This window comes from Homo sapiens, chromosome 2 (genome assembly GCF_000001405.40).
Source record: "Homo sapiens chromosome 2, GRCh38.p14 Primary Assembly".
Taxonomy (NCBI): Eukaryota; Metazoa; Chordata; class Mammalia; order Primates; family Hominidae; genus Homo; species Homo sapiens.
The window spans coordinates 25,714,943-25,732,096 of record NC_000002.12 but is presented as its reverse complement, the minus strand read 5'-3'; the positions used below and the strand labels follow the sequence as shown (position 1 = coordinate 25,732,096).

Genomic DNA, 17,154 nt, shown 5'->3' with positions numbered 1-17,154 from the left:
GGCATAGTGGTGCACACCTATAGTCCCAGCTATCTGGGAGGCTAAGGCAGGAAGATCTTTTCAGCCTAGGAATTCAAGGATACAGTGAGCTATCACTGACCCACTGTACTCCAGCCTGGGTGACACAGCAAGACCTTGTCTCCAGTAAAAAAGCCCATTAGCCTACACAAAAGTTATAAAGACATCTAACCCCCTTTCTTTTCCTAAGTGTTCTGTGGTTTAATTTTTAACAGTTAAAAGTGCAATTGATTTTGGCCTGGGCACGGTGGCTCACACCTATAATCTCAGCACTTTGGGAGGCCGAGGCGGGTGGATTACCTGAGGTCAGGAGTTCAAGACCAGCCTGGCCAATACGGTGAAACTCATCTCTACTAAAAGTACAAAAAAATTAGCTAGGTGTGGTGGTGGGCACTGTGATCCCAGCTACTTGGGAGGCTGAGGCAGGAGAATCACTTGAACCTGGGAGGTGGAGGTTGCAGTGCGCTGAGATCACGCCATTGCACTCCAGCTTGGGTGACGAGAGCAACACTCCATTTCAAAAAAGTGTACTTGATTTTGAACAAACTGTACATAAAGTGTACAATATGATAAATATTGCCACGTTTCACCACCACAATCATGATAACATATCCACCACCCGCCGAAGTGTCCTGTTTCCTCCTGACCCTCCCTCACACCATCCCAGGCAGCCATTGATCTCTCTGTCACTATAAGTTTGCATTTTCTAAAATGTTATATAAATGGAATCCTACAGTATGTGCTCTTTTATTGGTTGGAGGGGCTGGCTTCTTTCACTCAGATCAATTACTTTGACATTCATCTGTGTTGTCACATGTATGAATGGTTCATTCCTTTGTGTTGCTGAGTAGTGGTGTATGGATATACCACAGTTCATCTGTTGATGGACACGAGTTATTTCTAGTCGTTCATCATTACAAATAAAGCTGCTTTGCACAAGATTTCGTATGGAAATATGCTTTCATATCTCTTGGTGAAATACCTAAGAGTAGAATGGCTGGATATAGGTAGGTATATGCTTAACTTTTTAGGAAACGGCTAAACTATTTTCCAAAGTTGTACTATTTTACATTCCCACAAACGGTATGGGAGATCCAGTCCTTCCATTTCCTTGTCAACATGGGGGTCAGTGTTTTAGCCACTTTAACGGGACTGTGGTGGTATCTCCTTGGTGACTAATGTTGCTGAACATCTTTTCACGTGCTTATTTGCTATCCATATATCTTCTTTCACGAAGTGTTCATGAGTTTTTGTATATGGTAAGAGAGACAGATCAAAGTTCTTTGCATGTTAATATCCAATTGTTCTATCACATTTAAAAAGACTATGATTTTTCCACTGAATGACTTCCACATCTCTGTTGAAAATCAGTTTTGTATATGTGTGTGTGTCTATTTTTGGACTCTTCTGGTCCACCGATACATTTGTGTATCGTTGTTGTTGTTTTGAGACAGAGTCTCCCTCTGTAACCCAGGCTGGAGTGCAGGGCGCGATCTCAGCTCACTGCAACCTCCACCTCCCAGGTCCCGGTTAAAGCAATTCTCCTGCCTCAGCCTCCCAAATAACGGATTACAGGCACGCGCCACCATGCCTGGCTAATTTTTGTATTTTTAGTAGAGACGGGGTTTCACCATGTTGGCCAGGCTATTCTTGAATTCCTGAACCCGTGATCCGTCCACCTTGGCCTCCCAAAGTGCTGGGATTACAGATGTGAGCCACCACACCGTCCATATTTGTATATCTTTGAACCATCACCACATTGTCTTAATTACTGTAGCTTTATAAATAAATCTTAAAATTAGGTAGTGTTAGTCCTCCAACTTTGTTCTTCATTTACAAAATTGGTTAGGCTATGTTAAGTCTTTGCAGCTTATCAGTCGCTACAAAAATGTAATTTCGATTGGGATTATTTTTACACAATACATCAATTGGGGACAATTGAGATCTGAGCAATATTGTTCAATCCATCCATCTTTGTATATGCTTTAATTTCTCTAAGCAATGTCATAGGTTTCAGTGAATAGGTCTTACACATCTTTTGTGAGATTTAACTCTACATTTTAATATTTTAAATGATGCTATAAAATTTTTTTTAATTTCAATTTTAAAATTTAACACTCATTTTCTGAATGTTAATTGGTATAAACAATCAATTTATATTCTTGTACTTATTTTGTATCCTACTACGTCGCTAAACTCACGTATTGGATTTACTGGCTTCTTTGAACATTCCATTGGATTTTCTACACAGATAACAGTGTCATCTCCAAAGACAGTTTTATTCTGGATAACTTTTCTCCTTCTGCCTTACTGCTCTGGCTATAACCTCCAGTACTATGTTGAAAAGATGTGGAGAGAGTGGGCATCCTTGTTCTGATCTTATGGAGAAAGCATTTAGTATTTCATGTTAAGTGTGATGTTTAGCCGTAGGTTTTTCCTAGATGCCCTTTATCAGGCTGCGGAAGTTTTTGTTCTATTATGTGCTGAGTTTTTTACTGTTTTTTAATCAGGAAGGGATGTTGGATTTTGTCAGCTGCTTTTTCTGCATCTGTTGATACGATATGGTTTACTTTTTCAGTCTGTTACTATGATGAATTACATGGATTGACTTCAGGATATTAAACCAGCTTTGGATTCACTGATTTTCTGTATTGGTTTTCTGTATTGGTTTCCTGTTTTCTGTTCCACTGATTTTCACTCTGATACTCACTGTGTTTCATTTATTTTGCTTACCTTAGGTTTAATTCTTCTTTGTCCAGTGTTTAATTTGGAAGCTGATGTTATTAATTCGAGGCCTTTCTTCTTTTCTAATATAGGTGCTTAGTACTATAAATTTTCCCCCAAGTACTGCTTTCACAGCATCTCAACAATTCTCAGATGCTGTTGCTTCATTTCTTTTCAGTTCAAAATATGTTGTAAGTTCCATTTTAAAATGGTTTATTAGAATAAACATTTTTTTAAAATCTGCTAAATCTCTTTTATTTTTATTTATTTGTTTATTTATTTGAGACGGAGTCTCACTCTGTTGTCCAGGCTGGAGTGCAGTGGCACGATCTCAGCTCACTGCAAGCTCCGCCTCCCGATTTCACGCCATTCTCCTGCCTCAGCCTCCCGAGTAGCTGGGAATACAGGCGCCCACAACCACGCCCGGCTAATTTTTTGTATTTTCAGTAGAGAGAGGGTTTCACCATGTTAGCCAGGATGGTCTTGATCTTCTGACTTCGTGATCCGCCCACCTCAGCCTCCCAAAGTGCTGGGATTACAAGCGTGAGCTACCGCACCCAGCCAAAATGTGCTAAGTCTCAACCCCACTTCCTGTCATTTCTGTATGTATGACAAAATGGGGAGTTCATACATAAAACACTCTCACTGCATATTAAGGTATAGTAACAGAAAAAGTATTTGTGTGATTGAATCATGAGCTGAGCTAGTGCTTTTTTCATGGAACACTGCTTAAGAGAAGGACTGACTATGGTTGTTCAGATTTGGGGATTTCCTGGAAAATGAACAAAGTGAGCCTGTCACTTAAGAACAATTGACTGTCCAGGTGTGGTGGCTCACGCCTGTAATCCCAGCACTTTGGAAGGCCGAGGCAGGTGGATCACCTGAGGTCAGGAGTTCTAGACCAGCCTGGCCAACATGGTGAAACCCCGTTTCTACTAAAAAAATACAAAAAATTAGCTGGGTGTGGTGGCACATGCCTGTAATCCCAGCTACTTGGGAGGCTGAGGTAGGAGAATCACTCGAATCCGGGAGGCAGAGGTTGCAGTGAGCCAAGATCGCACCACTGCACTCCAGCCTGGGCAACAGAGTGAGACTCCGCCTCAAAAAAAAAACAAAACAAAAAAAAACAGCAATTGACAGTATTTGTTGGCAATGTTAAAATTTGAGCTTTAAAGTAAAACATTGGGGGGAACTATATATCCACCACCATGAGCTAGACAGTTTCCCAACACTTTAAGACTTTTTGAGGAATCAAAAATACTGAAATTACAGATACACACACACACACACACACACACACACACACACACACATATATATATTTGATATTGTATCCCGAATCCAAAAACCATTCCCTAGAGAAACAGGCTCAGTAGACACTTAGTCTGCCTTCTTGAGACCAGAAAGTTTGAGAACGCTGCTCTACCCTGCTCTGGATTATAAAGTATTTGATGGGGCTACACTCCAGGCCCACCTGCTGAGGCACCTCTCTCAGCCATTGCTACTCTGTCAGTCCAATACCACAGTTTATCTGAGCCTTGCAATTAGTATCCCCACACTGAGTGTGGGGAATAAGGACACTAGCCTTGATATTCTTGGATCAACCCATACTCATGTGAGTATTTCACTATTGCAGTTTTGACACAGGTCAGCCAAGAGACCTTGCACCTAAATTCCTGCCCTTCTCTTTTTTTGTCCCCAGATCCTTTCCTGTCTGGTGGAAGGGCTTTCTCCTCCATGCGTGGCACAAATCTATGCTTCCTACTCTCTCTGGTTTATTCTTTATTATAAGTCCTCTAAGAGGCTTTATTTCTTCATATGTAGAAACCCAGCTTTAGGGTTTCTAAGAAATAGCTCTATCTTTCTCAAAAAAACCTAGCTTTCAAGACAATTGTCTCACTATGGACTTTAAAAAAGTCTGGTTGACACATGCACACGTATGTTTATTGCGGTACTATTCACAATAGCAAAAACTTGGAACCAACCCAAATGTCCCTCAATGATAGACTGGGATAAGAAAATGTGGCACATATACACCGTGGAATACTATGCAGCCATAAAAAAAGATGAGTTCATGTCCTTTGCAGGGACATGGATGAAGCTGGAAACCATCATTCTCAGCAAACTATCACAAGGACAGAAAACTAAACACTGCATGTTCTCACTCATAGGTGGGAATTGAACAATGAGAACACTTGGACACAGGGCAGGGAACATCACACACCGGGACCTGTTGGGGTCGGGGGCAGAGGGAGGGGTATCATTAGGAGAAATACCTAATGTAAATGATGAGTTAATGGGTGCAGCAAACCAACATGGCACATGTATACCTATATATCAAACCTGCACGTTGTGTACATGTACCCTAGAACTTAAAGTATAATGAAAAGAAAAAAAAAGTCTGGTTGAAGCACGAAGCTGAGCCATAATGTCTTTGTTTTAGCTAATGTCCATCCTCTTTCCTTGGGACAGTAAGCTTCGACCTCATTGTTTGACTGAAAGGTTTGGCAGGGTGCAGGACGAATCACTGAGAAGGAAAAGCACCTTATTACCTCAGCTGGATCGGCAGTGTTAAGGATGTTAAAGGAAATGTTTAAAATGCTGAGAGCCTTGGTAATGAATGCTTCTGAATGTGTATGTTGTCACTGGAGTATTATGACAAGGATGAGTTGGAGGGGAAAACCCATATGTTTCAATCATCTTTTTTTAGTTCTGCATACTAGGGGTTCAGTAAATATATGTCTAATTCAATATAATTCATTTGTAATTTTCAAATTCTTTTTTTTTACATTTGAGGGGTGGGGAAACAGGACAAACAGAATTCAAGAAGGGGAAGGAAGTCATCTCAGAGAGGGAAAAGTTAAATACTTTAATGTCAAATTATATTAAAATGATTAAATTCATAAACTTATAGCTGAGCAGATAAAGGCATATCAATGTTATATTCTTTTAGGCGTTCCTATTGTGAATGAAAAAAATGCTTTTCTAAACATTACCTCTTCTCAATTTATTTGCAAGTATGTACATTTAAACAATTCAGTATACTATTGCTATGGTCTGCATGTGTGCCCCCAAATTCATGTGTTGGAAATGTATTCCCCACTACAACAATGGTTGGGAGGTAGGGGCTTTTAGGGTGTTGTTAGGTTATGAAGGCTCCACCCTTGTGAATGGATAAATGCTGCTTTATTATAAAAATGGGGCCTGGCATGCTGGCTCATGCCTGTAATCCCAGCACTTTAGGAGGCCAAGGTGAGAGAATTGGTTGAGGCCAGGAGTTTGAAACCAGCCGGGGCAACATAGTGAGACCCCATCTCCACACACACACACACACAAAATATTGGAAATGTAGCTGGGGATGGTGGCACACACCTATAGTCCTAGCTACTCCTGAGGCGGAAGCAGGAGGATTGCCTGAGCCCAGAAGTTTGAGGATACAGTGAGCTATGATGGCGCCACTGCACTCCAGTCTGGGTGACAGAGGAAGACCTTGCGTCCTGAAAAAAATAAAAGTTAAAAAGGGTGAGGCTTGTGGGAGGGGGTTTGCTCTCTCTTGCCCTTCTGCTTTCCGCCACGTGAGGACACAGCCGGAAGACCCATACTAGATGGTGGTGCCTTGACCTCGGGCTTCCCAGATCCCAGGAGTGTGAGAAGTAAGTTTCTTTCCTTTATTAATTACCCAGGCTCAGGCATTTTGTTATCGCAGCACAAAATGGACTAACACAACACTGTGTCTCTTCTCTTTGCTGAATCAATACTTCTATTTTAATTGCAAATAGTAATACTGGCAATCACTTTTTTTTTTTTTTTTTTTTTTTTAGCATTAACCATGTGCTTAAGGGTTGGAAACAGTGGTCTCAGGAGGAGGAAGGGAGCGAAGGTGATGGCAGACTCTCCTCTTAAGTGTGACAGAGCCTCACATGTCAAGGTTAAACAGGTACTGGCCCTTTGAGAAGAAGGGGGAAATCTGGGTTTTTCTGTTATTTATGGCAGTCCACCCACATTTATGTCACACAGCTGCAATTCACAAAGCACTTGGCAAAAGTTACCACATTTCATCCGCATTACTCTCCTGTGAGGTAGAGATTATCATGCTTATTGAACATACAAAACACCGAGGTTCAGAGGGGATCGGGGGTCCTCAGTTACACAGCTAGCCAGTGGCAGAGTTGGGGGTTGAACCCCATTTTCTGCATCCTGGACACAAGCTGAGCTGCCCTAGCCCCACCTCCCTCCTGAGAAGGGGAGAGTATGCCCCGCTATGGCTGCGGCCGGCCTGCTTGATATTGTTCTCTTTTGGGCACTACCATCCACCAGGGAGAGATCCAAGGCTCCTCCAGGGGAAAGAAAGCTCTGCAATTAGACTAAATATAGTCTGGGAGAGGCTGCACCTCATTTGGACTAATTATCCTGTCACCCATTAGAAGAACAAAGAGTGAAGAATTTTCAAGCCTCATCATTTCCATTCCTCTCACTAGCTTGGACTTCTATATAATTGACCTGACCCCTCGGGCCTGGAGATAAATGTTAACAGAGCATACATGCTGACTGAGAAACGTCTGAGCTGCTGAGGAAGACCATGGCGATAATTCTCCTTCACTTTCCAGCACAATCCAGACTCCATCAGAATTGGAGGGACACTGGCCTGATGAGAGATTCCTCAGTCCTGGTAATGCTCAGATGAGGGCAGGGAACAAGAAAAGGCCATCGGTGGAAACCCAGTTGACAGTCAGTTGCATAAAGTATTGATATTCCATTTTGCAAAACCCTTCTTGTTGTTCTAACAAACACTGAACACATACTATGTGCAAGGCAGTGGGCAGTTTATTAAATATGTTTGAAGGAAGCCAGGAGAAACTCAATGGATCCCTAAGAGTTGAATTCAAAACCAAAGTTAGAGAAATTCAAGAGAAGGCAAGGTACTTTGGTCAAGATGTGTGCATAGCCGTTAAGGTTTGGGATAAAATGAAATATTGTTTCAGGATGGTTTTATTAAATTCTTGTTTCTTTTAGGGAAGACCTGCAGAACACTTGGCATCAACCAGCAAAAACATTTTTAAAAAGAGTAGTGCTTCATAGAACACAGATAAAATCCTATTAACCACAGATACTACAAATGACTTTTATGAACTTGTGACTTTCCATTGTGGATGATTTTCTTATGCAGGCATAACATCTGTTGATGGCCTCAGAAATCGTTCTATCCCCCTCTCCCCTCTCCCTTGCCGAAGCTGGACGGTACTGCTGCCATCTCAGCTCACTGCAACCTCCCTGCCTGATTCTCCTGCCTCAGCTTGCCGAGTGCCTGCTATTGCAGGCGCGCGCCGCCACGCCTGACTGGTTTTCGTATTTTTTTGGTGGAGACGGGGTTTCGCTGTGTTGGCCGGGCTGGTCTCCAGCTCCTAACCGCGAGTGATCCGCCAGCCTCGGCCTCCCGAGGTGCCGGGATTGCAGACGGAGTCTCGTTCACTCAGTGCTCAATGGTGCCCAGGCTGGAGTGCAGTGGCGTGATCTCGGCTCGCTACAACCTCCACCTCCCAGCAGCCTGCCTTGGCCCCCCAAAGTGCCGAGATTGCAGCCTCTGCCCGGCCGCCACCCCGTCTGGGAAGTGAGGAGCGTCTCCGCCTGGCCGCCCATCGTCCGGGATGTGAGGAGCCCCTCTGCCTGGCTGCCCAGTCTGGAAAGTGAGGAGCGTCTCTGCCCGGCCGCCATCCCATCTAGGAAGTGAGGAGCGCCTCTTCCCGGCCGCCATCACATCTGGGAAGTGAGGAGCCTCTCTGCCCGGTCGCCCATCGTCTGAGATGTGGGGAGCACCTCTGCCCTGCCGCCCCGTCCGGGATGTGAGGAGCGTCTCTGCCCGGCTGCCCCGTCTGAGAAGTGAGGAGACCCTCTGCCTGGCAACCGCCCGGTCTGAGAAGTGAGGAGCGTCTCCGCCCAGCAGCCACCTCGTCCGGGAGGGAGGTGGGGGGGTCAGCCCCCCGCCCGACCAGCTGCCCTGTCCGGCAGGTGAGGGGTGCCTCTGCCCGGCCGCCCCTACTGGGAAGTGAGGAGCCCCTCTGCCCGGCCAGCCGCCCCGTCCAGGAGGGAGGTGGGGGGGTCAGCCCCCCACCCGGCCAGCCGCCCCGTCCGGGAGGTGAGGGGCCCCTCTGCCCGGCCGCCCCTACTGGGAAGTGAGGAGCCCCTCTGCCCGGCCACCACCCCGTCTGGGAGGTGTACCCAACAGCTCAATGAGAACGGGCCAGGATGACAATGGCGGTTTTGTGGAATAGAAAGGGGGGAAAGATTGAGAAATCGGATGGTTGCCGTGTCTGTGTAGAAAGAGGTAGACATGGGAGACTTTTCATTTTGTTCTGTACTAAGAAAAATTCTTCTGCCTTGGGATCCTGTTGATTGGTGACCTTACCCCCAACCCTGTGCTCTCTGAAACATGTGCTGTGTCCACTCAGGGTTGAATGGATTAAGGGCAGTGCAAGATGTGCTTTGTTAAACAGATGCTTGAAGGCAGCATGCTCCTTAAGAGTCATCACCACTCCCTAATCTCAAGTACCCAGGGACACAAACACTGCGGAAGGCCGCAGGGTCCTCTGCCTAGGAAAACCAGAGACCTTTGTTCACTTGTTTATCTGCTGACCTTCCCTCCACTATTGTCCTGTGACCCTGCCAAATCCCCCTCTGCGAGAAACAGCCAAGAATGATCAATTTAAAAAAAAAAAAAATTGTTCTATCTGTAATATAATAAGATTCTGTAATACCACATTTGACATCTGCAACAAGTTCCAAGTAAAAGACTGCAATAGAAAAAAATGTTTTGCACATTTCAGATCAGATGTTGCATATTTAAAAATCAAATCTCATTTCTAAGAAAAGGATGTAGCTTGTTTTGCCAACAGGGCACAAAATAGAGTTCAAAAGGTTCATGTCACAGTTTGAATCACCATCCAACCAAAGTGTGGAGAGACGATTCATACATCTTGTGTCTGGCACTAACTAGTGGCTATCCAAGCTTCATCAACAACAATAACAGTACATATTTGCTGATAATCCCCTATGATAAAGTGAGCATGCCAAAATTATTAGGTTAGTGCAAAAATAATTGTGGTTTTTGCCATTTTTAACGGCAAAAACCGCAATTACTTTTGCACGAACCTAATATCATGAATTTTATATACACCTCCTCGCTTTCCTTCAGAGGGGAATGCTGCTACAAGACAGGATTCTGCTTCAGAACCCAGCTATGAGAGAGGCACTCTCCCACTACCCAGAAGGTAGAAGAGAGGAAGTAGGCTCAAATCCACCGAAGTGCTTCTGGGAAGCGGAGCAGGAGGCAAAGAAGTAAGTCGAGGTGGGGAACCAGGGTGCATGAAGCTGAGCAGAGGACTGGCCATTCTGGTGGTTTTGATTTTTCTGTGTTGGTTAGTTCCCTGCTTCTTTGGTGTCCTCTCTCTCTCTCTCCCTCTCTCTGTGCTACATGCACCCCTTCCTGATGTTGTTCTATTTTGCTTCACTCTTCCTCATCCTCTGCTTTGTCCAAAATCTGATTGCCCTGCTGCACATGTGTGCCCTGAACCCCATTACTCTGAAATCTGGGCTGCCCCAAAGACCAAATTGGATTAATTATGCCCAAGCAAACTTTGAAAACACTTTAAAAAGAAAAGAAAGAAGGCCAAATGAGCTGAAGACAGGTTCAGTGACCTGGAGATGATGTGGTTCATTTGCATATCTTGGTAGGGTTTTCAAAGGGTAAAGAAGGCAAGATCTTTTCCAGGAGCTTTTTGTTTGAACAACTTATTTATATAAGAGAATCAGTTAAATATCACCTTCACCAAAAGAATTATGTTGGAGTGCTGAAAACTCTGAAGCAATCACTCGCAGGTCAATTTTCTCTGCCCTGAGAGGAATGTGTTTCTGAATCCAGAAGTTAGGATAGCTTTGTCCACCCTCTCCTCGAACATGGGCAAGTGTCATGGAACACAGAATATAAAAGCCAGGCTTTCTAAGACTTTAAGAGTAAAAGGTGTTTCTCTGCCTTGGCAGCCAAAAATAAATGACTGTGGACTAAGCACGTACCTTCTAGACCACGGTTTCTCAGCCTTGACACTTGAAACTTTGGGTCAGGTAAGTCTTTGTTGTAGGGGCTGACCTGGGCATTGCAGGATGTTTAGCAGCATCGCTGGCCTCCACTCAACTAGATGCCAGGAGTGCACGTCCACACACACACATATGCAACTTATGACTATAAAAAATGTCTCTAGACATCGCCAAATGTCCCCTGGGAGATGAAAATCAACCCCTCTTGAGAACCACTGCTTTAGAGAAGGGGGTGAAGTATTCTGTTCCAAAACATACATATAAGACCTTAAGTGTTTTCAAGTATTTAGGGAAAAATGGTGTTTTAGAAAAAAATATAGTGATAGCTTAACCTTCACAGGTTCCAGGGCACTGCTCCAAGCTGTGACTTCTGCTAAACTATTGTGCTTCAAAAGAGAAGGAACAATATGTGTCACAGTCACTGCTATGGTTATTACACCCAGTATAGTGCCCAGGGCTCAGTACGTGCTTAAAAACATTTGTGACATTATTACCATTTAATGAGCAAATACTATGTGCTAAGCACTATGACATGTTCATATATCATCCTTAATCTTTACAACAACACTAATAGGATAGGCATTAAAGTAAGACTCTTCAATAAAGCAAATCCAGATAGTCATGCAATTGTTATTTGATTCCCAGTTCCTTGCCTTCCCCCAGCTTCTATGGGAATGAGCTAAAATTTCTACCAACACGAAGGGGGAGGACTGCAACTCACTTTTGGGGAGAGGAGAAGCAGAGTGAGTCCCCATTTCCTCTGCATTTGCTCAGCCACATTTCCCTGGATCCAAAAAACAAGGTGGCAGGTAACTAGGAGATTCCTGGAATAATTCCTCTGCTGTCCTGGGCACTTTAGTCAGCCACAGGACCCATGCTTGTTGCCATCAATATTTAAACTGGAGTAAACAATGCCCAGGTGGCTGTAAACCACAGCTGAGCCTGGGAAGGATTTAACTTGCATAGCCAGAACCCTGGAAACCCAAATCATGACATACATTTCTCACTAATGCACCCTTGCATTTTATAAGATTGACCGCTCCTGCCCACTCATCACGCCATGCTGGAGTTTTACTGTATCATCTCTATGGTACAAATGAGGAAACTGAGGCCCTATGAGGTTGCATGATTTGTTCAAATCACAAAGCTGCTCTATGGTGTCCTGAGATTTGAAACATGCAAGGTTAGGCTGACTCCATAGTCTTTCCACACATATCTTCCAGAGTGGAGCTGGTGATTGCCATTCCTGCATCCCATGTGTCCTAATCCCCTGAATGGTTTTGAGTCGGGGGATCATATTCTCTATTGTGTGGGCTTGGGAGGGGCAGATGAACAGGACCTGGTCCAGAGCCAACAGGCTTCAAGCTCTGCCAAGCAAGTGTGTAGCAGGAATACCAGGACGAATAGCAGGCAGGACTGGACTGGCCAGGTAAGAACAGGCAGAGGCAAAACAGGCAGCCTTTATTATGAGATTGAACAAGATGAGGCAGAACCCATAATCCAGCACTTGCTCACCGCTCCTGCTGTAGACGGGACCACCGAGTGAATCCCTGCCTCCCAGAGAGGCCTGGGCAGGATGCCTGGCATCAGATAAGCCAGAGGTCTTGGCAGACTGCCCAGACCCCACCCAGGGAAGGTGCAGTGTTGGGGAGCATGCATGCTAAATACATACACACACACACACACACACACACACACACACACACACACACAAATGTATGAGGCAGAAGGCTAGCTGGGTATAGGAGTAAGCTGTGTTTTTTACATATATTTATCACGTAGGACTCTTCAATTCTTTAAAAAAGTTTTGCTTTGGGCAGTTGTGTGGTCACCAACCTGGTTGTTGGTGTAAGTCAGTGAGTGCTGCCAGGCAGCACAGACCAGGAGTCCAGCTAGTTAGGAAAGCCAAGCACATAACCATTTCTAGCAGAGATGGTTGAAACCAAGATGCTTTAATTCAAAGAGGAGCCGCGGGGCACAGTGACACCATTTCCCTTAACTGGGAACACCACTACAGGGAGGAAACTAGGTCTGCTGTGGAGGTGTAAGCTGAACAAAAGGAAACAGAACAGAAACAAGGTTCAAATAAGCGGGTGGTGTCAGCACCCCCACAACCCACACCAGGTGTAAGCCTGGGTGGGTGGTTCCTCCTGGACAAGGGAGCTGGCTTACTTGAGGTGAGGAGATCAGGATGGCATCTCACAGAAAGGACATGGGACAGGTTTGCCTCACCCCTCCGTCTAGGTACAACTGTTGTTTAAGAGGTGATACACTGGCCTGCCAAGATGCAAATCTGTGTACTCATAACCTTCATGTCAAATTCTGTTCTTAATTCTGCAGGGAAAATGATAGTGAACAATCGCACCTATGACATCCCTTCCCTTCATCGTGTGAACTCATGTCATACATTGCATATGTTACAGCTTAAAATTATTTTCTATTATTTTGCTAATCAAATTCTATTGATGTAGATGAACTCAAATGCTTGGTCCTTCCTTCTCATTTCTTTTTTAATGCATGGAAAATTAGTTGTATAGTAGTAGTTAGAAAGTTAGTAGCTTATACTTTTTAAAAATGTAGGCCAGGTACAGTGGCTCACTCCTGTAATCCTAGCACTTTGGGAGGCCGAGGTGGGTGTATCACCTGAGCCCAGGAGTTTGAGACCGGCCTCTCTACTAAAAATAGAGAGTAGAGACCCCATCTCTACTAAAAACACACACACAAAAAAAAAACTAGCCAGGTGTGGTGACACACACCTGTAGTCCCAGCTACTAGGGAGGCTGAAGTGGGAGGATCGATTGCTTGAGCCCAGGAAATCGAGCCTGCAGTGAACCGTGATCACGCCACTGCACTCCAGCCTGGGTGACAGGAATGAGACCCTGTCTCAAAAAATAAAAAATAAAAGTGTAGACCAGGCGCAGTGGCTCACGCCTGTAATCCCAGCACTTTGGGAGGCCAAGGCAGGTGGGTCACAAGATCAAGAGATTGAGACCATCCTGGCCAACATGGTGAAACCCTCTCTACTAAAAATCCAAAAAAAAAAAAAAAATTAGCTGGGCGTGGAGGTGCATGCCTGTAAGGGAGGCTGAGGCAGGAGAATTACTTGAACCCGGGGGGCAGAGCTTGCAGTGAGCTGAGATTGCACCACTGCTCTCCAGCCTGATGACAGAGCAAGACTTCATCTCAAATAAAATAAAATAAAATAAAAATGTATTCAGATATTTACTGAACTACTATTTGGCTACTACTAGCACCTAGTAGGCTTTTTCAAGACCCTGGGGGACATAAGACACATATAGTTCCTGCTCTCATGGTGCTGACATTCTGTTGGGGGGGATAATAGTGGGAAAGAAATGTCCATGTAGATAATATAATTCCAAATAGGGATAAGCACATTAACTAAGACAACGCATTATCGTTCCTAAATTATTGCATTTATTGTTCTATGTAACACTCAGAAGCTCACTCCAAGTGATCTTCTCCCTTCTCCTCAGTGTCCTTATAGAGCATGAGCCTATTTGCATGTGTTCCTTCTGTCAGCAGGGGCACTTAGCTCAGCTATTGTTTTCAGTGGGCTAGTATGTGTCATATTTTTTTTTTTTGAGACGGAGTTTCGCTCTGTTGCCCAGGCTGGAGTGCAACGGCGTAATCTCGGCTCACTGCAACCTCCACTTTCTGGGTTCAAGTGATTCTCCCACCTCAGCCTCCCAAGTAGCTGGGATTACAGGTGCATGCCACCACGCCTGGCTAATGTTTTTTTTTTTGTATTTTTAGTAGAGATGGGGTTTTACCATGTTGCCCAGGCTGGTCTTGAACTCCTGGGTGCAAGCGACCCACCTGCCTCAGCCTCCCAAAGCGCTGGGATTACAGGCATGAGCCACTGCGCCCGGCCACCGGCCATGTTTTCATCTAGACTCCACCATAAGACAAGGTATGAATCCTTCTTCTCATTCTGCTTCCATCTCTTCTGTCTAGTTGCTGAGCAGATCTCAAGATGGGAAGCTAGAAAGAATGACAGGACTGTCTAGAGAAGGAAGGTCATGTAAGAATGGAATCTGATCTCCTTTTTTCCTAGATGCTAACATTATATCCTCTGCCTCCTGCCTTATTTTTAAGTCTTTTCTCAAGAAACATAAACAAGAGTCCTGTTTGCTTCCCTATGCTCCCAGTTCAGAGATGCTGCATTGAACTGGACAGGTTAGACTGATCTGGAGAGTCCAGATGGAATAGTCCCAAAACTTATTCCCTAGCAGGCAATTAAGGAATCTGTAAGGAATAAATGAGTCAATGAATCTACAATGAATCTACAAGGGATCCAATCAGTCATCAAGCCTTTATCACGCACCTATAATTTGCCAGGCACTATATTGATATTTGACAGACAAAAATAATTAAGCACACTCCTGACATGGAGGAAAGAAGGCATGTCCACAGTTAATTTTAGAACAATACATAAAATTCCATAACAGCAGGATCAAAAGTACCACAGGAACACAGGGCAGGGATCCAGTCTGACTAGCAGATTGGAGGTGGCTCTGTGTATGAAATATCATCTGATCTGGTCTTTGAAGGAGGTGTGAAAATTTCAGAGAGGAAAGGCTACACGTTTCAGGCAGAGGAGAAAGGGCCTGGCAATGCATTGTTTAGTAGCCTGAGTGCTACATCTTTAATCCCCTTCCTTACCCTACAGTGCCTCTTCCCCTCACATGGCTCCATTAAAAAAGTAACATTGGCTGGGCGCGGTGGCTCACGCCTGTAATCCCAGCACTTTGGGAGGCCGAGGTGGGCAGATCATGAGGTCAGGAGTTCAAGACCAGTCTGGCCAATATGGTGAAACCCTGTTTCTACTAAAAACACAAAAATTAGCCAGCCATGATGGCAGGCACCTGTAATCCAAGCTACTCAGGAGGCTGAGACGGGAGAATCATTTGAACCTGGGAGGCAGAGGTTGCAGTGAGTGAAGATCACACCATTGCACTCCAGCCTGGGTGACAGAGCGAGACTCTGTCTACAATAAATAAATAAATAAATAATTTTTTAAAATAACATTAAGCTTCACAGAGAAAGAACTTGGGTAGGAGCCATGCATAAAGTACAGTGGAAACTAGAAATCAATAATGTATGTTAAGGAACAATGTCCTTCTAAACATAGAATTGCTGGCTTCAAATTAGCTGCCACTCGGCCTTCATTTAGTTCTTCTAGCCACCATTTAAGCCTTATTCCCTGTTAATATACTACCCTATGATAGTTGAACATTTCTCCTCTTTTTTTGGGGTGGGGGACAGAGTCCCCAAAGTGCTGGGATTACAGGCGTGAGCCACCATACCCGGCTGGGGTCTTTCCAGTTTTTTATGCTTCTTTTTTTTTTTTGAAACTGAGTTTCACTCTTGTCGCCCAAGCTGGAGTGCAATAGCGCAATCTCGGCTCACTGCAACCTCTGCCTCCCAGGTTCAAGGGATCCTCCTGTCTCAGCCTCCCAAGTACCTTGGACTACAGATGCACGCCACCATGCCCAGCTAATTTTTGTATTTTTAGTAGAGACAGGGTTTCACCATGTTGGCCAGGCTGGTCTCAAACTCCTGACCTCAAGTGATCCTCCCACCTCGGCCTCCTGAAATGCTGAAATTACAGGCGTGAGCCACCGCTGTTGGTCTATGCTTGTTGACAGAGCTACAGTGAACATGTCACAGAGCTACAGTGAACACATATCACAGTTCTTTCTCCTTTAAAAGGTATGCTGAGTTTTGAACCCTTGTTATATTGCTGCCACATTCCTCTCTGGTTAAAGTGTCACCAGCTGTGCTTCAGGGGTCTATTTTCCCACAGCCCCCCCAAACTGGGTTTTATTTTTATTTATTTTGGCTTGTGTCGTGGTAGCATTAAATGATTTAATTGGTATTTTAAAATTGCTAATGCGGTTTTGTGAGGATTAAATTAGAAAATATATCTACAAAGGCGTGGCACATAGTAAGCTATTATTATTATTATTACTCCTAGCAGTTATTGAATGAAAAGTTAGATACTGTAGTGACCTTATATATTTGTGTTTTGTTCTTATGTTTTTGTGCAGAGGGGCTCTTTCTCTTCATCCACACGGGAGCTCCTGCTCAGTCCTTTCTCTTTTCTATCCTCACTCTGTGAGTGACTTCATTTAGTCTCAAGTCTTTAATGCCATCTGCATGCTGGCAGCACTGAAGTTCATGTCTCTGGTGTGGACCTCTCTGCTGTACTCCAGCATGTTTAACAGCCTGAATTCATGTCTCTGGTGTGGACCTCTCTGCTCTACTCCAGCATATCTAACTGCCTATTCAACTTCTCCGCCT

At 44.5% G+C, this 17,154-nt stretch overlaps 1 long non-coding RNA gene across 1 annotated transcript, besides 1 other annotated feature; it reads left to right on the top strand.

Annotated features, from left to right (window-relative positions):
- Positions 6,570-8,021, top strand: LOC105374332 (uncharacterized). Its single transcript, XR_939849.2, has 3 exons — positions 6,570-6,679; positions 7,221-7,411; positions 7,756-8,021. It is a non-coding gene; the product is annotated as an uncharacterized LOC105374332 (long non-coding RNA).
- Positions 8,767-9,558: an enhancer, noted in NCBI's record as "NANOG-H3K27ac-H3K4me1 hESC enhancer chr2:25945408-25946199 (GRCh37/hg19 assembly coordinates)". NCBI's record gives its function as "activates a minimal SCP1, AML or CMV promoter by ChIP-STARR-seq in naive H9 embryonic stem cells {active_cell/tissue: H9 hESC(naive)}" and the evidence as "EXISTENCE:reporter gene assay evidence [ECO:0000049][PMID:30033119]".